The 23,022-nt window shown below is 37.3% G+C and overlaps 1 long non-coding RNA gene and 1 pseudogene across 1 annotated transcript, besides 1 other annotated feature; one reads left to right on the plus strand and one right to left on the minus strand.

Annotated features, from left to right (window-relative positions):
* Positions 2,598–3,099: an enhancer, noted in NCBI's record as "NANOG hESC enhancer chr20:17182732-17183233 (GRCh37/hg19 assembly coordinates)". NCBI's record gives its function as "activates a minimal SCP1, AML or CMV promoter by ChIP-STARR-seq in primed H9 embryonic stem cells {active_cell/tissue: H9 hESC(primed)}" and the evidence as "EXISTENCE:reporter gene assay evidence [ECO:0000049][PMID:30033119]".
* Positions 9,571–9,731, plus strand: RNU1-131P (RNA, U1 small nuclear 131, pseudogene; annotated as a pseudogene).
* Positions 17,294–18,767, minus strand: LOC105372545 (uncharacterized). Its single transcript, XR_937290.2, has 3 exons — positions 18,610–18,767; positions 18,422–18,511; positions 17,294–17,444 (listed from the first exon to the last, which is right to left on the minus strand). It is a non-coding gene; the product is annotated as an uncharacterized LOC105372545 (long non-coding RNA).
* Positions 18,768–23,022: the final 4,255 nt, after the last annotated feature.

The raw sequence follows: 23,022 nt of genomic DNA on the forward strand, positions 1-23,022 counted from the left end.
CAGATTACCTCAGGTTGATTTGCTACATCTTTGCTAGGATGTCAAAAATGTCTGTTGACATCTCTTTTGATACTTTTATCTCACCGTTCATGTGTCAACTGCCAGTTGCTATGTGAGCTCTGATTCTGAATTTAGCAATAAATGCTCTTCACATTACTTTTCTCTCCACCGTCTATCTCTTCTGGGCTTTGAGTTCAATTCGAGCAGTGAACTTTGAGTTCTCTGACATCAGACTTCTTGACCTCCAGTCAATCATAGAGTAACTCCTCCCTCTCAATCAAAACCAAATAAAAGTTATATACCCTAGTTGAGTCAACTTGACTGCAGCCTTAAGAAAATCTCACCAAATGCAGCCTTACATGTTCTGACTTGAAATACATCATGTGTTTCCCTTCGGTCCTTCAGCAGGGGTTTGTTCTATTTCAGTGGGCACTAAAATACTGTCTTTCACAGATATTTCGCCTTGGAAATTTCATGGAAAGTTAGTAGAGTGATGCTACCAACTGTGTGATATGGTTTGGTTTTGGCCTTGCCACAATTCTTAAGGCCTGATGTGAATTTCATTTCCTATTGCTTATCCTGTGTGTGTTAACTTTCTGCTTGGTAAAATTGCAAGTTCCCAATGAAAGCATTCTACAATTGATTAGACCTGGGCCACCTGGCAATTTCTTTCTAATCTCTTTTATTGTGCTTTCCATAAAAATGACAGCCCTGGTATAAATCCTAGTTTAAATCAATACCAGTAAGTGCTAATCTCTTCACAGCACTGGAGATGAAAATGTCAAATGGTACCTGCTGGGCATTAGAACTCCTACTGTAAATCATCAAAAATTAAAGCAACACCAAATTGATTTTATTTTCCTCTTTTAAAACATCATTTTAGATTCATTATTTTTTACAGTTAAGTTATTCTTTTTTCTTTTTGCTTATGCTCTGGTTAGATGAGATTGATGAACTGAATTTGGCATGGCAAATGTGTTGATGTCCCATGACACAATATACAAGATCCATACCTGAATTAGGAAGAGCCTGAGGATGAAGTTGATATTTTAGAGTGTGATGTATATATTTAAGTGACATTTTAATCCTTCTTCATGTGATAACACCACGATAACATGGAATCTTGGTTGAAGAAGCTAAACCACAAGAAGGTATCTAGTAAAACTACAGTCATGGAATAGAATTTCTAGTCCTTTGTAGCCCCTCCTTGAGACTATTGTCAAAACTACCACAAGCTACACTAAAGGATGCTCTCAGTAGGAGTTAGCTGCCTGGAATCTGAGCATCTTAACAACAAGATATAGAAAAAAATGCATAGATAAATTGCTAAGTTTTCAAGTGATCCTGGAAGAATTGGGCAATAGTTTTTAAATCCAGGAAAAACTTAACTAAGAATCTTGCCCAGCTTCCTACACTAGTTATTTTATCAAATAAGAAACCAAAACCTTGGGAAATTTAGTGACAGTCATGGTCACAGGTTTAAAGGCAATGCAGTAGATCTCTAGATATTTAATTAGGGTTTCTTCTTGTTTCATCACAGAGAAAATACAAGGACTACACCCACATTGAGCATGGGACATGGAAAAATCTGATGTGTGTGTGTATGTGTGTGTTTTCATAAAAATAGTTAATACTCAGAGAATAAAGTCTTAATATGTGCTAATAAAATGGAGGAGTGACAGGAAGAAACAAATGTTACAAAGTGAAGACTTAATTTAACTATAGATGCTTCATGACTTATGATGGGGTTATAGCCAGATAAATGCATCTCAGGTTGAAAATGCGTTTAATACACCTAACCTACCAAACATCATAGCTTAACTAGACTTAAACATGCTCAGAACACTTACATTAGCCTATGGTTGAGCAAAATCATTGAACACAAAGCCTGTTTTATAATAAAGTATCATATATCTCATGTAATTTATTGAACACTGTGCTGAAAGTAAAAACAGAATTGTTGAATGAGTATTTGAAGTATGATTTCTGCTGAAGGCATATCACTTTCTCACCATTATAAATTCAACCATCGTAAGTCAGGGACTGTCTGTAGTTAGTTTCAGATTTACTTCTAGACAAAATACTTTTTATGTTGTGTGGTTCTCTTCCATCTCTCATAGAGGATGCTAATTGGCAAGGAAATGCTTAAGAAATATGTAAGCCAAAGGAGTGGCAGAAAAAGACTCATTCAGTTATACAAGGTAGTCATCAAGCAAGGAGCCCACCTTTGCATAATGGAGAATTCGGGACAGTTTCATGAACTGACAACAAAGATTTCTCCAATCCTTGCTTAGTTCATCAAGTTATTCATCAGTTTAAGTTCATTAACAGTACTAACTAAAGTGCAAGGCCCTCAAAATTACTTGTCTTTCCTCCATCAGTTTAAGTCTTGCAAGGCCAAGCAGATAACAGAAATGAGCAATGTGGACTCAGTAGAGACTGGCAAATTGTGAAGCATATGGAAAGGAAATAGCCTCTGCCTAGCTCTTACAAGCTGGGAGCAGGGGAGAATGAAGACACAATGTAACTAGCTGAGCTCACTTTTGCAGAGATGCCAGAAATCCAAAAATTGATGCAAATTATAAATTTATAAATTTGACAATTCAAAATCATGGAAACACATCTGGGGCTGCTAATGTGAGAGCTTTAACTAAGAACGAGAAACCACTTTAGGGTTTAATAAACAGGAAAGGGTAAACCATGGAAGGTTACCAGTTTCAGGGACACCTGTAGTTTCTCTTAACAGTTTCCACTTACCAGTGAGCAAATGGTCACTGATTTCAGAGGTATGTGTCATATAGAAGAATGAATTTACATCAGAAACAGAGAGGTCAGCGTCTGATTGCAGGTTCTGAAGAGAATGCTACAGTCAGTGGGATGAACAATGATAGGGGAATCAGACTGGAGTTGCCACTAGTTAAGCTATAGAAACCTAAGTGAATCACTCAACCTCTCGTGAAGAGTCTTTCTCATTTGTGAATTTTAGATTAAAAAATACCTGATTTACCTGATCCACAGCTTTATCATAATAGACAGTGAACAGGAAATAAAAATAAAAGTTTCATTACAGAAGTGCGTAAGAGAATTCACATCCTGATCCCCTCCAGAACTGAGGTCCAAAATTCAGAAGGAATTAGAACTTCAGTGTGCATTCTGAGAAGAAACACAAAGGCATAGAGGATGGAAATAAGAATACTGAGGAATGGTGAAGTGGACAATGTCCGAGCTCTCTGCCCAGAGCCCTCGGGAACCCGTTTTTATCATTTCTGTGTGCCGCTTCCCAGCTTTTGTGTCCTTTTACTTCTAAAAGCTGCAGTGGTGCCGCTTACGGTGACTGCTCCAACGGTATGAGAGCTGCTTTGCTTATACAGGGAACCTGGGGTTTGTACTCCCATGATTTGGTCCTTAGCCAATGGCAGCTCCCTCAGAACAAAATTCTAGGATGTAATTGGACACTCTAGAGCCGCCCTACAGGACCAGGCTGAAGTGAGGATTTTTCCTGAAATCACAACAATTGCTTTACTTCTTTCCTTTCCTTGTCCTGCTTTCTCCACTCCCTTATCAGAGTTTGTGGGAGCACTCATTCATAAATCACGTGTGAATCCTTCTCTTTCGGTGTGCTTCTAAGAGTCTGTACTAAAACATCCACACATTTATCGAAACTGGCTTACTTTATTAAGAACTATGTTTCCATTAAAAAATAAAGCATGTCTACTGTAAGCAGCAAAAAAAGAAAAAAAAAAGGGAAAAAGCTACATTTTTCCTGCAAAAATTTAAGACATTTTTACAAATAAAACAAACGTTTGTTTCAGAGCTGAGGATTTGGGGGGTGGTGTGTGTAAGAGTTACACTTCAAAAGCTACATAAGAAATAGTTGCATCCTTCATGACATATCCAACTAAACAGTAATGAATGGTGTAAATCTCACTGTGCAACTAGCTGTATTTAGGCATTAGACAGGATATAATGGCCAAGAGACAAAACAGAACAAAAACTGTTTCAACTAAGACATTAAGGGTGAGATGTTACTATGTAAATCAAGATCTATCATTTCTTGTATTTGGGGATCAGATATGTTACTTCTTACAAACAAAGAGATAAATAGGGTAACATTTACAATTGTGTTATTTTCCCATATCCCAAAATTAAAAAAAAAATTCTTTAACATCACAAGCTACATCAATTAACAAATTCCACTGTAATTTACAAATGCACAGATACATAATTGGGCTAACAGATATTTATGAAGCTACTTGTAACAGAAACAGTACTAAAATCATAACACATTTTTCAAAAATAACTTAGTTGAGTTCTTTATATCCGGTGATATTTCAGATACATTTGGTAATGAGTGCAAAAATCAGTAAGTAAATTAAATCTCAGGAGTTTCTACTTTGTGCTTAAGCACTGCGGGCTATTTGTTTTATTTTAGTGATCTGTTCACTAAAATAAAAATGGAGGTATATCAGAACTGAAAACAGTATTCTCATAGATAATGTAATTTTAAGTCTTTTTTATTCGAAGACAGTATAAATAGGAAGAATATTGAAAAGTGAAAATTATCTTAGGCTGTTGAAGAATATCTTAGCATGCTGAAGGACTTTGGCAAGTCATATTGTAGGTAACTTCCCTCAATTATGGTAAACAACTGATTTTCTAAGGCCATTTTTAAAATACAAGTAATTTAGTAAATATGAGCCCAAGTTTTGTATCATAGGAAAACTTTTGCCTAAAAATCTAGTAAGAAGATGGAATATCATTTTGAAACTTAAAACCTAGATGCTTATATCCAATAAAACTAAAATTTAATTGCAAAACAAAATATCAGTATTCTCAGGTACATGAGGTCTCAGGGAGAATAGCATGCTACAAAAGCACTGAGACATTCTCCAGAAGAGAGAAATTAATCCGACAGAAGGCAACGGTCTATGGGAAGAAAGACTGTGCAATGTTTATTTCTAATTAAAAGGTAATAAATGAGTATATCTCTAAGAATATTCGATCAAAATTCCAAATAATCCCAATGTGGCTGGAGGTGAAGTGAGGAACAAAACAAGAAATTGCTATTCTTCTTTTTTCCTCCAGAGCAATGACACAGTTATTGACAGCTTCAGACATTGATGGAGACAAATCAGCTGGGTTGGTCTTAACATGTTAGGAGAAAGCCCCTAAAGAATAAAAATAGTGCTGCACTTTCAAATCAATAGCATAGCATTAAAATTATTTTTATAAAAGAAAAAAGTTCAAATACAAGACTATTCGATATATGGATTTAAATCCTTTATTTCATAACAATGAGCATTAGCTGAAGTATGTGCTGGTCACCTTGATTTTCAAGACATTTAAAACTATTTCATCTTAATTTGTTATTTTCAACTATTATCTTGGGGTATGTTTCATAATATATATAATGTATTACTACATATATATCGTATACATACACCGTAGGCACAAGTCAAAGTATTTTACAGATAGAAAATGTGATCAAGAAAACATAGTGTACAGGATAAAGGCCAACTTTCTCTCCTTGGCATTTACAGCCCCTTCATATTCTGGCCAAAAATCCATTTCCAGCCTGATGACCCTCTATTTCATTCACTGACACCTCAGTTCTAACTGAGACATCTCCTTGGGCATCTTATTGCCCTGCATTGATATTCCCTGCATCAATCTTCTCACGTCTGGGGCCTTTCTTCCCTTCCTGGCTCCTATCAAGGTTTCCCTCGCTCAGGAAGCCTTCCCTGCCCTGCCATGCATTAGTAACACACTAGGCCACTGAATATTCAGTGTCTAGGTTTCAGGGAGGGTCTTGTGATACATTCGTGATTTGCAAAGGTATGATTCATGATTGCAAAAGCAATGTCTTCTCTGCGCTGATTTAATCTACAGCACTTTCAAATTTCAGCCAATGGTTACCTTGTCATGTATCCAAACTTTCTCCTCCCAGCTAAATATTGAGCTCCCAGGGGTATGGACAGACCATGGCTGATGCCCTTCTGAGTGCTTTCCCCATGCGGAAAGAGACACACTACAGAACCATAAATAAATATTTGTTAATGAAAAACTGACTTGTGGTCAGTTTATTTATCCAGAGGATGTAATGAGCCTCATCCTTCACTTTTCCCATGAGTGTATTGCTGACTACACCCTACGGAAATTGGGGCTTTAAGGCAAAACCTAATATAAGAGTTTGGAGATCTGGAGACCTTGTTTTGAGTCATAGTCTGTTGCTGTTAAAGTCCACAAAGCCTGTTTTCTCACCAACAAATGAGATAATAATGACCAACGCATGCAGTTGTAAGGATTAAATGAGAAAAATAATATAATAAAGATGCTTAAGATGTCTTTGTTGTTACTCTATGTTCATCTCCAAAGCAGCTTCTGTTACCAATCTTTAACCAAAACTCAAGATAACAATGGTTTGCATGCTATCAATTTCCTGGAGATTAGAGAGCAATTCTAATTGGAAGGTGTCCAGCAGACCTAAATGGTTCTAGAGAGAAGGTCCCTCTGTCACTATGAAAAGTAAACCGTAAGTCCCTTATGCCCCCTAGTTAGTAGCTTTTGTATTCTAATGAGAAAAGTGAAGTTTAGGGTCTCAATCCAATTCTACAATCATTTGTTGAGCAATTACAAAATTTAGAAATCACTGGTTTTGCCTTTACCTCTCCTCCAAGCCAGGCAACCCACACTCTCTCCTCTGCCTCCCTTTAAATTCTATCCCACATTCGATTAAAGTACTTGCTTTTCTACCTGCCAATTAACAGCAGCTTTTGGGCTTGACCTCCTCTGAAGGCATTACTAGGTCCTCCTGTTTTCCTCCTACAGCATCCAGTGGAAGTGCCAATCCAGTACAGACCACCACGTGGTCCATGCTAAACCTCATGCAAAGGCAGGGGCAATGTGGATGGGAGAGAAGAAGCTTTAAGGGGAAGAAGGGCGTTAAAGTTGACTTTCCTCAATTTTCAGATTCCATTATGAGGATTCCATCCACATAGTGGAGAGGAGTTTCCACTGCTGGAAAAATAGAAGGATGGAAACCATAGTATTGAAAAAATGATTCATTATTTAAAGGAAAAGCAACCGGCCTTGATTTAAGCCATGCTGAGGGATGCTCAGCCTCAAGGCAAACTTTCTGCTGTTCAGTTTGTGTCCACTGATCATGAACCCAGAAGCCTCAGATTGCATATTTGTTTAAGCCTTTCTTTTTCATTTTCCCTCCCTTGATCTGAAAAGCTTTGGTGATTATACAGATTGAGACAGAATTCTGTCACCAGAAAGAATTGTGTTCTTTGTTCTGTGGCTTCTCTTCATTAGATGTGTGTGTTGCCTTTATAAATCCCAAAGATTGTTTAGCAACCTGAGACTGTGATCCGAGTGGGTGATGCATGTCATGTGCTTTATTACCATCAAACTCAAGGACGACAGAAAAAAGAACAGTCACAATCTGTTTGTTGGAACTGTTGCCTTCCCCTTACCCAGAGCCAACACGTAGCTTCTCCTGTCTTCCATGCTAACACAGGCAACCAACTCACAGCCAACGAGACAGGAATAATGCAGGGTGGATGCAGGAGAATAGAAAACTCCAGGCAGCAGTTTCACATGACTAGCAAAAGGAAACTATTGAAATAGGTTCAGAAGCTAGGGACTGATAAGACCCTGAAAAACCAGGGTGTAGGCCAAACCGGCTAAGACAAACTGGATGCACCATGGCACTGGATTTGATATAGGACCTCATTATATGCTTGTGAACATATTGAATCACATACCCACCAGTGCGGTAAAGATACAAGCCCGAAAACCTGCAGCGTGACTCACTCTCTTGATATTCAAGTGCATGCTACCCTTTACTGAGTGTGTACTTTTACTTTGCTATAAATCTCAGTTCTTTCACTATTTTCAGGCGTATCTTGAATTCCTTCTCACCTAAGAGCCTGGACACCAGCTAAGGTTGAGGTTGCACTGACATTCGGGGACCTCGTCCAGCCCATCGGTATCATCAGAATGCTCTTTTCCCAGTGGTACCAATGTAGTGATATGAAAAAGCAACTTTCCTGCCCTGCCATGCATTAGTAACCCACTAGGCCACTGAATATTCAGTGTCTAGGTTTCAGGGAGGGTCCTGTGGTACACTCGTGATTTGCAAAGGTAACTATGGATGGTAGATTTTCAAAGGAGTTGCCTTTACCAAAGAAATATAATAAAGAAAATTCCATTAAAAAAGGATACAATAGGACACAGGGAGAAAGTGAAAAGCAAAAAAGATGAGTTTCTCCAATAACAGCCTTTCTTGTCTTCTTAAGGGAAGCTGGAATGCTTGAGGGCCATCTGCAGGAAAATTTATTCCAATTAAGCAAGTCTTTTTTAGCATCTTTATGCTTGTGTCTGCGAGCAAAACCTTTGAATGGTGGTATAATTCTCTGCCCATAGGTGTTTTAATTTAATAGCACCTAGCTTAATTCTAAGCTCATAGGCACTCAAAAAATAAGTAAATGATTGATTCAAAAGAATTGTATCACTTGGACTTAAAAGAACTCTCAGAGAAACTGATGCTTAAAGAGGTTAAGTAACCATCTCAAGGGCATATAACTGGGAAGTTATGGAATCCAGATTTGAATCCAAGTGTGTTTAAGAAGCACACGCTCTTTCTCCTGATTGTGGAGATAGGACTAATAGGGGCACAATATCATGGTCAAGAGCGCGGGCTCAAGGGAGTGTTCGGTGTGGCAGACTCCATGCATTTGAATTCTGGGTTCACAACTTAGTAGCTCAGTGATCTTGCTCAGGAAAACAACCTAATCTCTTTGTGCCTTAATTTTAGCATATGTAAAATGGGGATAAGAAAAGTATCTACTTCAAAGCCTCATTTCAAGTATTAAAGGAGTTAACATGTGTAAGGAACTAAAACAGTGCCTGATATATAGTGAGTACTCAGTGGATCACTTCAGCTATTTTACATGATTATTGAAGTCAGGGAATACATTTCATCCAGTAATAAAACCTTCAATTTACATTATAAGTTGTTACGTGCTGGATCTCTTGAAAACATAATGCACGATGAGAGAGTAGAGGACAGTGACTGAAAATCATCACAATCTTCCTTTGCACAAGAATGATGCATTACTATCATCTCCATCACCACCTCATTTTCATTATCTTCACCACCAATTCCATTTCATAACACATTTGCTTCATGTCTCACTTACAGTCACAAACTTCTTTGATAGACAAGAAAGGGACCCATGTTGAGATCTACATTCTCAAATCAGGTTAAGAGGGACAGCGATGCTTATTTCACTGTCTATGTGTTTATACCTGATTCTTTCAACCAGGGAGACAGCCTGACCCATGGAGAAAGCACGAGTCAAAGGTCAAATGCATCCACCTGCAGGTCCTGTCACTGACCACTTAGCATCCCACAATATCACTGAACCTCAGTTTGCTCATACGTAAAATAAAATTTTAAAAAATAGAAAATGTAGGTAGCGTGTCTAGCTCAGATGGCTCTAGTCCCTTACTGTGACCCAACCATTTCTAATTTGGCACAAGTTACAATAAAAAACAAGCGTGATACTTACCTGGCAGGGCAAATACCATCATCACAAAGGTGGTTTTCCCAGGGTAAGCCTTATCCATTGCACTCTGGATGTACAAACTCCTGCAATTTCCCCAAATATGGGAAACTCGACTGCATCATTTGTTGTCATGGGGACTGCATTTGCACTTTCCCCTAATTTTAAAAAAAGAAGACAAGCACAATTCAGATAAGTAAAATAGAATTAATTAAATGCACGAAAGAGAGGAATAACCAAATACTTTGAGAGCTGAGCTAGTTCCTATAATTAGGCAATATTCATGACTCTGAGCCTCCTGGAAGTGAGGGCAAAAATGGAAATAAAAGAGTTTCCCCAAAAGGAAGAAGCATACCAATGCTTCAAAAGAAATAAAGTCTAAACTGACAACAGGTAACGAGATATTTCTCATGTAAAACCTTATAAGGGTAACATTGAGTGCCATGATAGATAGGTCTTCTGACATCAGTTTCATTTAAAAAATGCAGGCCAGATTTTTACTTGGATGCTTTAAAAAGGAACTTGGATAACAACTGAGAGGTTAACATCAAAATCCATTTCAGTTCAAGTGATTCTGGAGGGGATTAAGCTGATATGGTCTCAGAATGATGCCTGACAGTAATTAAACATAATACAAGTGCAGAATCAGGAAAGCATAACCACTCTGAGTGCTATGGAATAAGAAATTTTTTATAGGAATTCAACTTTACACAATTGTGGAAGGTGCTAGAGAATAAGGGTCCAAAAATGGGAGTTGGAGAATCAGGGGAAGGTCATCAGCCAGGCCTCCTGGAGCACTGACACCAATGGACACATCAGAGGTCCCAGGAGAACTTAGAAGCCAAGCATGCCTAACAACCAGAGTGGGCCCCTAGCCGAGCTGGTGGAGGAGTTTATGGAAGTTCTTGCCACTTCACACATAGTGCCTTTGTGAGTTTGCAGCCAAGAATCCAGTGGTCAGCCTGGAGTTGCTCTTGGTCAACAGGGCTAGGAGTTAATAGGGAGAGTTGGACATGAGGTTGGGAGAGGCAGTGGTAAAACAGAACCCACCTGTGCACCTGTCTCTCTCTGCAAACGACAACCATGACCTTCAGACATTGTAACTGTGTCCTCGCATTGCTTCTTCAAACCACCACAAAGTTCTCTTTGGCCAACTGCAGTCTAGAAACACACAAAGAAAAGGATTCTGGCAAACTTAGTAACAGGTGAGCCAAGTGTTTCCTGAACAAAAACCATGCAGAACTGCATTCCAGCCAGCGAAAAGGAGAAAGAGAAAAAATGGAGAAATAAGCTAAGGGTGACTTCCTCCCTTCTCATAGGATTGTTTTTGTAAGCTGCTCGTGGCATTTCTTCCCTCATTTCAATGGCCAGCAGTTAAATCATTCTGTGGCCATATATCATCCTGGTTTTCAGGTAAAATTCCAGGACGTGGCAAAGAAGACCCAGATAACTGCGTGCTTTAATGCTTGACCTAACCAAAACCTCTGGACTGCATTGAAACTGATTCACCTTCCATGGCCTGTCTGGATCTAGCCAAGTCAAAAGATATACTTGAATAAAAGTGACTAACACAATGGCAACCCAGCCCAAAATGAGGCTTCTAATGAGAGGGTGATAATACTAGGTGGGGCTGAAAAACTTGGTCTTCTAGTCAGTAATATGATTATGCTTATAATAATATGATAATTTTACTGAGGATTCACTCTATACAAGGCACTGTGTATGTTTTATCCTATTTAATTCCCACAATACTAAAAGGGTTCACAAAAGACTATATGGAGTCACCATAAGTTTAAAATCTTGCTCTAAGTCACACCTAGATTGCTAACAAGGACCAATCTAGGTTTTGAACTCTGACCTGACTGACTCTATCACACTCACCCTCATTTTCCTTGTCTCCTCCCACACTGATGTTTAGAAAAGCAACAGAGCGAAGTGCTCAGCATGAAGGAGAGGCATTATGCAAATTTTAACTCTTAAAGGTATTCGCAATTTGCCCAACTATATCATGAGTACTGGCTTTTACCTGGTGTGTAGCTATAATGTGCAAGTTGCATATTAACTCCATTCCAGAGATGATCTCATGGCTCAAGATTGCTGCTCTGGCTCCAGCCATCAGCAGTAGCTCTCAGCTAATGCAGGTGGCATCACCCTCCCCACTTCCTCACCCTTCCAGGGTTGCATAATAGTAAGATGAGTAATTTGCTTAGAGCTCCCACACACTTTGCAAATAACATCCTGAGTTTCAGAATTCATGTCAGTTTGCCTGTGAGGCTAAACACTTGAAGTGCTCCTCCTTCAAAGTCACATAAACCATAAACCCAGTCCTGAGAGTTGGTCTTTTGGCCAGGACCTTATATACCTATTGATCTAGCCACTTAAAGACATCTTTGTTAATATATTGTTCCTAATGCTGTTGGGTAATTGAGGTCTTTGTTTTTCAAATGTTTATTTATTTATTATTTTAATAGACAAATTGAAACTTTAATTGACAAAGTACAATTGTATATATTTTATATCATTTTTGAAATATGTGTGTAATGTAGAATAATTAAATCTAGCTACTTAACAGATGCATTACCTCACATAATTACCATTTTTGCATGTGTTGAGAGTGCTTAAAATCTACTCATTTAACAATTTTCACAAAGGACATGAACAGATACTTTTCAAAACAAAACATATATGCAGCCAATGAGCATATAAAAAAGCTCAATATCATTGATTGTTAGAGAAACGCAAGTAAAACCACAAAGAGGTACGATCTCATACCAGTCAGAATGACTATGACTACAAATTTTTAAATAACAGATGCTGGTGAGGTTGTGGAAAAAAAGGAACACTTATACACTGTTGGTTGGAGTATAAATCAGTTGAACCATTATGGAAGACAGTGTGGCAATTCCTCAAAGACCTAAAAACAGAACTACCATTGGACCCAGTAATCTCATTACTGGATATATACCCAAAGGAATATAAATCATTCTATTATGAAGACACATACGTGTGTATGTTAATTGCAGCACTATTCACCGTAGCAAAAACATGGACTCAACCTAAATGCCCATCAATGATAGACAGGACAAAGAAAATGTGGCATATATACACCAAGGAATACAAGCAGCCAAAAATAAAACCACAAAATCAACAACAACAACAACAACAAAAAAGATTATGTCCTTTGCAGGAACATGGATGGAGCTGCTGGAGGGAGCTGGAGGCCATTATCTTTAGCAAACTAATGCCGGAACAGAAATCCAAATGTCACATGTTCTCACTTACAAGTGGGAGCTAAAGAGAACACATGACACAGAGGGGAACTACACACACTGGGACCCACTGGAGGTTGGAGGGTGAGAGGAGGGAGAGGATCAGGAAACATAACTAATGAGTATTAGGCTTAATACCTAGGTGATCAAATAATTTGTACAACGAACCCCCATGACAGGAGTTTGCCTATATAACAAACCTGCACATGTACCCCTGAACTTAAAAGTTTAAAAGAAGGATACAACATGATTAATTATAGTCACCATATTGTACAATAGATCTCCTGAACTTATTCCTCCTATCTAACTAAAATTTTGTACCTTAAGGTCTGTTCAAGTATTAGGCTCTGGTGAACAGGTAGAATTTTTTTTTTTTTTTTTTTTTTTTTGAGATGGAGTCTTGCTTTGTCACCCAGGCTGAAGTGTAATGGCACAATCCTGGCTCACTGCAACCTCCGCCTCCCATGTTCAAACGATTCTCCTGCCTCAGCCTCCTGAGTAGCTGGGATTATAGGCGTGTGCCACCACGCCCAGCTAATTTTTGTATTTTTAGTAGAGACAGGGTTTCACCATGTTGGTCAGGCTGGTCTCGAACTCCTGACCTCATGATCTGCCCACTTTGGCCTCCCAAAGTACTAGGATTACAGCCATGAGCCACTACGCTCAGCCTAGAATTTTTTCCTGATTGTGAAAATATAGCCTCTTTTTCTACTAATGGGTTCAAACTACCAATGATCTGGTCTGAAGCAGGTTAAAAGAGTCACAGTTTTTGTTTTGCATCCTCCATAGCACCATTATCCAAAAATGATGACCAAAATCATCAAAATAGACCCTTAGCAAAGATTCCAAGAACTCCTAAAGACAGACCAATTTTCAAAATAAAATCTGTCAGATGCATTTTGCTTTATTTTGTTTATGAGTAAAGAAGTATCTAATAAGTCAAACTTCTGGTAGGGGAGGGGCATCTGTTGGCTAAAAGCAACATATATGTTAAGTCCAAAGCCTGTGCCAGGTGCTTTGAACCTACTTTTGCTTTAAAATATCTGATGAATATTTAAGGATGGCTACATCACAGGTTTGTTCTAGTTCACCTCTACTATATGAACAAACCATCACAGAGACGGAATAATTCTATCTCTAGTCTTCCATGTTTTTTCCCTCTAACATTTCACTAAACTATACCAATTAATATTTATACCACATTATTTGAATGTGGCCTGTGTATTACAAGTATTTATTTTGGGACCACTTTAAGGAAATTTCCATAGTTACATTGTTGTGTGGTCTATTTATTGATGCTCATTAAAACCAATGTAACTGGAAAAGTATTTTTACTTTCTATAACTAACTCACCTGCTTTCCCTAAAGAGTGCCTCCTACTAACTCCAGAGCAAAAGTACTCCTGAGTATCTTTATGGGTTTGATATGTAGGTTTGGGACTGGAAATTTGAGGGGGCCTTGAGTTCCACGTCTCAGTTAATGAAATTCTTTCCAGACTAGCCAATCAGCACACAGAAAGCCCAGCAATAAAGGCAAGTAAAACTGAGTAATCTCCAGAAACTTTCAGATGCCATGGGGAGGATTAAGATTTCTCCAGGCCAAGCCCAGTTAGGGTTTGGAACAACTCAATTCGGGTCCCAAGGACTTTAATAAAATCTTCTGATCTCTGGGTCCTTTTTATTTATACATATATTCATGCATGCTTATTTAAAACCCAAAATAACCCTGTGGACCAGATAGCTCATGTATTATTTTTGATAAAAATCTGGGTACCAAAAGGTTTTGCAGTTCATCTATCACCATTTTGATAAGGGCGACAATCTGTGTCCCAAGATCCTTTAATATTCTTGTCATCGAACCCAGAGACTTTTCCAAAATCAGAATATGAAAAACAAGAGGTAGAACACAAGGTGAATTTCAAGTGCTTGCATTTCCAAGTGATGATTGTTGGAAATGTGATTGTAAGTCTGTACTGTGCTTTTTAATAACTTGATTGTGAAGCTGGAAAGACACTTCCTGCCTCTGCTTGGTGGTCTCATTAGATTACCATTCTCCTCAATGTTGGCAATTTATTGCAGTTTCCCTTTCCTATCTTTACACCATTCATTCCAATGCAGGGAAAAGATTTCAAAAACCACTGCAATGCTCCCATTAGTATTAAATCTTACACTTTAAATTTAAGTTATTTAATATCAAAGCTGTGAAACTGCCAGATGGATAGATTTTTCTTATTGATTATACATTTAATAATTTTATGAGAAACTACATATTTATTTCTGTTAAGAATGATTGGATTGAAGATAGCTTAAAGAAAAAAACAGCCCAAATTCCACCACTATTCAATACATTCATGTAACGAACTTGCACATGTACCCCTGAATCCATGAAAATAAAAAATAAGACATTTTTAAAGACCTATTTCTTTGGTTAGTGTTCTTATAATCACAGAGTAAAACCTTATTTTTAAGTTGTGATTTCTTCCACACGTAAAAAAAAATTCTTTGTTGTATCAGCTAATTTATTCTCATCCTATTCATTTTAATAATTTTTTCTCATACTTGGAACATATCATTACATAAAATAATCACCTTTTGCCCAGGATAAAGTAATAAAAGAATTAGAAGAAACTTAGCCCAAAATTTATGCACAGACATTTGGAGTATTTCCATCTTGTGAACTTCAGATTTATTTTCATCCTGGCCTCTTATTTTGAAATTGCTTCTCAGAGTCATCACATTTGTGCCTGTCTTCATGGTAAATTGTTTTTAGCATAGCAATATTCTCAGATCAATTGCTGGTGGTAGTAATGTTAGTATCAATCATGTACAAACACGTAATAGCTGGGAGACAAATGAGATCTACCTCTCCTTCTTCTTTTAGCCAGGTACAATTTGCTCTTCTGAAAGATGTCTTTACTACAAAGTAATATCCTGGGAAGTCTGAAAACACATCAGTTAGGCACTAAGAATTCTTTCAGCCCACCTGGTCTGCAGAGGCAGGAAGGTTCATCTCTGTGAATTGGCCAAAACCATGGACAGATCCTCCATACTACTGTACCAGATGGTGGTTCTGAGTGCTGCCATGGAGAAGGGTCCTATAACTTCTATCCTGCCTTCCTAAGCCTTCATATTTTTCTCCTTCAGTAAGTCCTTCTCCTCTTCCTCCTCCTCCTTGTTCTCCTCCTCCTCCTCTTCCACCTTTTCCTTTTTTGTAATTTCCTAGCCCTTAGATATTAGGATTTCCTGGTTGTTCACAATTTGAATTCTAGTTGTTTGGCCCTGAGGACTTTTCCCAAAATTGCTAATGGATTTTGCAATTTTTTCCTTGCCTCTTAATATGACTTTCCTTTGTATTATTTCTTTTGCCCAAATATATGTCACATTTTTGTTCTTCTAAGTTGTGTTCTTCTGTTTTGTTTTGTTTTGTTAATGTTGGCTACTGTGTTCACCCAGCCAGCCTCTCAGAAGGCTGTTTTTGTTATATTCATTACAAATGCTATACTTAAATATGTCATAATTTGAATGTAAATGTATCCCTTGTATAGCATGTGTCATATTTTACATAGGTGATATGTCAGTCAGGATGTCAGTATGAAAGAGTTGGTTTACACAGATGGAGTAATTGAGGAGAGTCTGTTGAGGGACTACTTACAAATGTATGGAAGAATAAAGCAAATGAAGCATAGTGAAGTCCATGGGACTAGCAACAGATTGGAGTCATTATCCTGCTAGGCCTAAAGAGACAAGGGAATGGCAAGGTTAATGGAATCTGGAGAGGGCTCCCTGATGGGAGCTACAGCATTTGGGACAGGAATGAAGTTAGTATGTAATGAGCCAGCAGGAAGGGAGCCTGGAAAATGAAAATCCTGAGATGACTCTCCCACCCAACTCTCCAAGTTTTTAAATGCACTTCCTGTTGGCTGAATCCAGTGGGAGGCCATAAAGCAATGAATCTCATTGATGTGGTCCATAAAAGCCAATCTCCAGGCACAGCACACAGTGGAGAACCATGGAGAGGAGATCTGAAGGGAAAACAGAAATAACCAGACACATATAGTATGCATTGTTGGATCTACAAAATAATGTTGAAAAAATTGCAGAGGCATTATAAACCCAATATGATCTATATTGTAGAACCCAATTTATCCATATTGACCACTTGGTACTTATAGCAAGTGACTGATCTTCAGGGGTATCTTGCTCAGATACTTTGTCCTCTCTTGAGGATTAAAGCCAATTATTCATCATGAGATTCCTCACTCAATGCCACTCACCACTCAAAACATTAGACAAACATGAATAGGTAATCGTCATTGCCTAACACTAGCATAGCTTGGAAAAACCTTCAGGTGAATATATTCAGCCATACGTGAAAAAGTAACATCATGTTCTACCAAATTTTTTTCCTCAATTTATTTGATGATTTATAACAGCTTTCAAAACTCCCCTTGATTGAGGTTGAACATAACCCTTAAAATCTGAAAACAGCCACAGTGCTGTGGTTTTTGACGAATCACCCCAGCTAAAAGTCGCAAGCTCATGCTTCTTATTTATTCATCTGTTCTTGCCAAGGAAATTTGCCAGTTCCTCCTGGTGCAAGTCTCCTGGGAAAAATGAGAGGAGAAATAATAAGGGCACCTTGAAGAAACAATGTAATTATACATAAAGTACTGTAGGCAATGATGAAAGTTTAGACGATTTTGCCATCTCATGGAATTAAGAACAAGGGCCCTCCTTTCCCTGACAGTAGAAAAAAGATATGAAGACACATTCTGGCACAGATATGAATCTTTTTAAATATTTACTTTTAATCACCATTTTAATCCTGGCATTTATATACAGCTACATGGTAAAATGACTGACTTCCCTCATGAAGGCTGAACCCATTATTTGGCTATGTCACCCCCATACTCTAGTAAGCTGAGTCAACCCATCATCAACAAGTCACCAGATACAAATTAGTGACATGTTGATGCTATTGGCTAATAGTTAACATTGCTGTTGGGCCCAAATGGATGAAACGTCCTTCTTAACATCTACAAATAAATAACCAATTCATCAAATGTCACTCTCTCCACCTGGCACTTAGAGGATACGTTAGTATAGCACCGTACCGTTTACAACATTTTAGCTTTCTAGTTAACACCTTTCAATATACTCCTGCTTCATAAATTGTCCCTCACCCTAACGCATTGTTCATTTTGATGAACAGATATTGTAATAGACATCTGTTGTTTTTATCTGTCCAACATCCTCGCACCTTTCTCTGGAAAAGAGCCCCCATATTTTCCTCTGTATAATAAAAACTTCTCCTTTCTTAGTCCACGTGGTTTAGCTTAGTCTAACATCCCATGTCAGCTCCAGAAGGCACAACACACAGGCCTGGCCAGGTAGCTGATTTCAATACTTGAACCCAATTGGGAAAGAATTGGTCACATGCTACAAGCCAAATTAATGAACTGCTATTCCAAAATTTTATAAACATTACAGGGGAAAAGAAACTTTCCTTTGGGGTTAAGCCATCAAAGAGGGTAATGGACTGTACAAGTGAAGATGGTGAAAGCTCTGCATCCAGCCATACCTGAATCTGTAGCCACCTCTGGACCCTTGAAAGATGTGAAACCAGAAATTTTCTTCATTGCTAAAGCCAGTTAGAGTTGTAGTTCTATCCCTTATAACCAAAAGAAAGAATTCTGATTAATGCAAGCAGGAAACTACAATCTGGAATGTGTCCAAAAATCTAAGGATAACATAACTAAATTCTGTTACCTATACTCAGGGCTTCATATGTTTGTATTATAGTTGAGTCTGAGCTGATCCAATTTTGAAAAAGATAAGCCTTCCTTCTGTTGTCATCACCTTGAACATTGCCATTTGTGTCAGATTCAGCCCCCAGCAATGCTTACCTAGCCATTCTTAAGAAAATATCCAAAAGCACGCCCACTCTAATCCTCCAGTACTCTAGGGGGAGGGTGGTTCATTTTTCCACGCACAAATGAGATTATTAAAAGTTTTTTTCTCAACATTTTAGAACAAGACTCCCCACGTGTATTACAGATATTAATCTTAAAAAATCAACCCTTTAAAATGGTTCCTGAGCCAATTGTTTAAATTATACTAACTTGTGAAAATACACTTTTTAATAAAAATATCTGTAGATGGCGGACCTTTCTTGGTATGTAGTTTAGATTACTGTTCAGCAAATATTCTCTTCCTTCACCCTCCCTATAAACAGTGTTGTGCTTGGCCATGTGATTTGCTTTGGCCAATACATTAGTAAACATGATGCAATAAAAGCCTTATTGTTTTTGCATGGCTTGGCTTGGATTTTAAGCTCCAGTATTAAGCCATGATAAGAGCACGTCTTGGGTAGGTAGCTGCTACCACTTTAGCCTGGGCTACAGAAAAAAATATGTGTGGAACAGACAAAAACCAAACTCAGCCTGGAACCTAAGCTGAGCCAACCTGTAGCATGAAGTAAAACTACTCAGCCAATCCCATTCTAGATCAGCCAAACCACAGAAAACTGTAATGTGAGAATAAAATACTTATTGTAAGCTATTACAGTTAAGATGATTTTTTCCACAGCACTACAGGGGCACTATGTGACTGCTATACTTTGTATAAATGCACTTCCATGTTTCATGTGCTATTGTATAACTCATGCAGCCAGTATTCCTTAAGAGATAGGAGATGCACAAGAGAAGTGGGTCCTTGATCTAAAATATTATCATTGAATGTCAGCCCTTAATTTGATCTCAGACACAGTCTAAGCAAATAATCCCCATCCCAATTTACGTTGAGACCAAGAGGGTAAAATGGCTTCCTTCAGGTCACATGACTAAAATGACCTAGAGCCGACGTCAAACAAAAGAATCTTTACTTCCAGCCTCACGATCTTCCCATAATGCCACTCTAACCTTTCTTGGGCATTTATAGATAAATTCCTACTTTACTTTAACATCTCACTGTCCTTGCATTGATAATGCTGTTTCCTCTAAGGACTAGCTTATAGCAAAATACAGAACATAAAAACTAATGATATTGGACGTTTGCAAAGGTTTTCACTACCAGAGAAGGGAGGTAATGCCAATTTGTCTATTCCTTGTCCTCAGAGGTAGGCAAAGAGTAGCTTTGGCCAAGACTGCTTCCATTTCTTGCAAGTCTGTATTCTGAAAGTCTGAGTTTATTTTTTCATCTATGCTAATAATTATTTAGAGAATATACTTCTATTTTCATCTTTTTGAATGTGTTCTATTAAATACATTATTTTTAGAAGAAAAAAGAACTATTGGATACTAGGTTTAATACTTTGGTGATGAAATAATCTGTACAGCAAACCTCCATGACACTAGTTTACCTATACAACAAACTTTCACATGTACCCCGAACCTGAAATAAAAGTTAAAATAAAATAATAACAATAACTGAAAAAAATCGCTATAGCAAAATGAGCTGAGACCCTGTAGATCGTTTAAACCAGAAGTCATAAACTCAGATGACTTTAGGGTGAAAAAAAAATCTCTATAGCAAAATGAACTGAGACACTGTAGATTGTTTAAACCAGAAGTCATAAACTCAGATGACTTTAGGGTGAAAAAAAAATCTCTATAGCAAAATGAACTGAGACACTGTAGATTGTTTAAACCAGAAGTCATAAACTCAGATGACTTTAGGGTGAGAAAAGTAAAACACATGAGTCAGGAGGCGGGATGAGGATTCTTGTGAACTGAGCATATCAGGCCTTGTTACATGGGGTGGGGAGAACAACAGCTACTAACTAGCTAATTGTGACCAAGTTGCCAAATCTTTGGTTATTCCAAAAGAAGTCACATCTCTGAATTTTTATGGGAAATAATAATTTTTAAAGGATTGTGACTATTTTTATTGACACCACATTTCCTATAAAACATACCTGTGAACTGGATGTCACTGGTATGTAACTTCTGGCATAAATTAATGTACAGGGAATAACACTGCAATAAACATGGATGTTCAGATGTCTCCTCAACATACTAGTTTCATTTTCTTTGAAAACATATAACCAATAATTGGATTTGTGGATCACAGGGACATTTTATTTTTAATATTTTGGGGAACGTCCACATTGTTTTCCATAATAGCTGTACTAATTTACATTCCCACCAACAATGTATATGAGTATTCGTTTCTCTACATCCTTGCTAGCAATTGTTATTTTTTGTCTTTTTGACATTTACCATTCTCACTGGGATAAGGTGGTATTTTGTCATGGTTTTAATTTGCATTTCTCTGATGTTCATGTTGTTGAGCAGTTTTTCATACATCTGTTGGCCATATATATGTCTTCTTTTGAGAAATGTCTGTTCAGTCCTTTTGTCCATTTTTAAATTAGTTTATTTGATTTTTTGCTATTGAGTTGAGTTCCTTATATATTCAGAATATTAACCCTTTGTCAGACACATAGTTTGAAAATATTTTCTCCCATTCTGTAGGTTGTTTCTTCACTCTATTGTTTCTTTTGCTGGGCAGAAGCTTTTTAGTTCAATGTAATTTTTTTGTCTGTTTTTGCTTTTGTTGCCTGTGCTTCTGAGTTTTTATTTAAAAACTTCTTGTCTAGCCCAATTTCAAGATGCATTCCACCTATATTTTCTTCTAGTAGTTTCAGGTCTTACAATTACATCTTTAATACATGTAGAGTTGATTTTTTTAGATGCTGAGAGATTGGAGACTAGTTTCATTCTTCTGTATGTGGATATCCAGTTTTCCCAGCATCGTTTATTGAAGAAACTATCGTTTCCCCAACGTGTGTTCTTGGCACCTTCATAAAAAATGATTTGGCTATAAATGCATGAATTTATTTCTGGGTTCTGTATTCTGTTCCATTGGTCTATGTGTATGTTTTATGTCCATCAACAGGTTAGTGGACAGACAAACGGTTAGTGCTATCGGTCATGCGATGAATACTAACCAACAATAAAAAGGAATAAAATATTGTTACACATTACACCATGGAAAATTTCAAAATAACTGTGCTGAGTGACAGAATCTAGACCAAAAACAAGTACACATTATGTTATTCCCTTTATATAACATTCAGGAAATATGCAACCTCATCTATAGTGGTATAAAGCAAAGCAGTGGCAGACTGAGGATGGGTGGTGTGAAGGGGTGGGAGAAGTGTGGGAGGGAGCCATAGGAAAATGGCATGAGCAATCTTTTGGAGAAAATGGATATATTCATTATCCGACTGCAGGGATTATTTCACAGGTGCATACATATATCAAAACTAGTTAAATTGCAAAACTAGTCAAACTTCACAGTTTACTATATGTTAACTATACCTTAACAAAGCTGTTTTGAAAAATTAAAAAGAAATTAATGCATAGTGAATGTGTTATTAGAACTTTAAAATAATCTAACTAGGTCCTATATTAATTATAACATCTGGATTGTAGGATTTTAAAAGAGAAAATAAATCTACAAACTAGGATTGAGTGACTAATTCTAGAAATATCTGTTTGTAAGGGTGTACTTTTTGGTTCACTCCAGTATCATAAGACAATAAAGTAAATATCATATAGTGAAATTCCCTAAAAATAGACAATGCCACGTTTTGCCAAAACATCTATGAAAGTATAGAATATTTTCAAAAGAGTGGAAAATATCTGAGAGCACAGCCATAAATTTATAACTGTTCCTCTAGCATGTTAAGTAACATTATACATCAATTTATCTACTCGGGGTAGGTCGTTCAAACTGATACTAAATAGTGTATAATTATCCAAAGCATTCAGATCAAAGTAAGTAGTTTCCTAGAATCTTATGTTTCATTATAATGGGCAGAGTTTACCTTATAAAATTAGTGTACACGTTTGAATGTATTAAATTTTATTTTACACATAAAATTTTTATCTTTTAAAATTCCTGTTTATATTTGCTAACAAGGCATATACTTTGTTCTCTCTGAATTATTTCTGAGTTATAAGTAGTTTGAGAAACACAAAAAAACTCCTTGTTGAAGATAATTTCCATAATTATTTAAAAAGTACATTGAGAAAGATTTACTATGGTTTTTAAAAGATCATGAAAAAGGAAAGAGAAATAACACAAGGTAGAGAATTCATGAATAGATAATCACTTTCCGCAGACAATAAGCAATGTTCCAATAAACCCTGAGAAATAACTAATTACTTTTCTAAG

The sequence above is a fragment of the Homo sapiens genome, chromosome 20, assembly GCF_000001405.40.
Source record: "Homo sapiens chromosome 20, GRCh38.p14 Primary Assembly".
Classification (NCBI taxonomy): domain Eukaryota; kingdom Metazoa; phylum Chordata; class Mammalia; order Primates; family Hominidae; genus Homo; species Homo sapiens.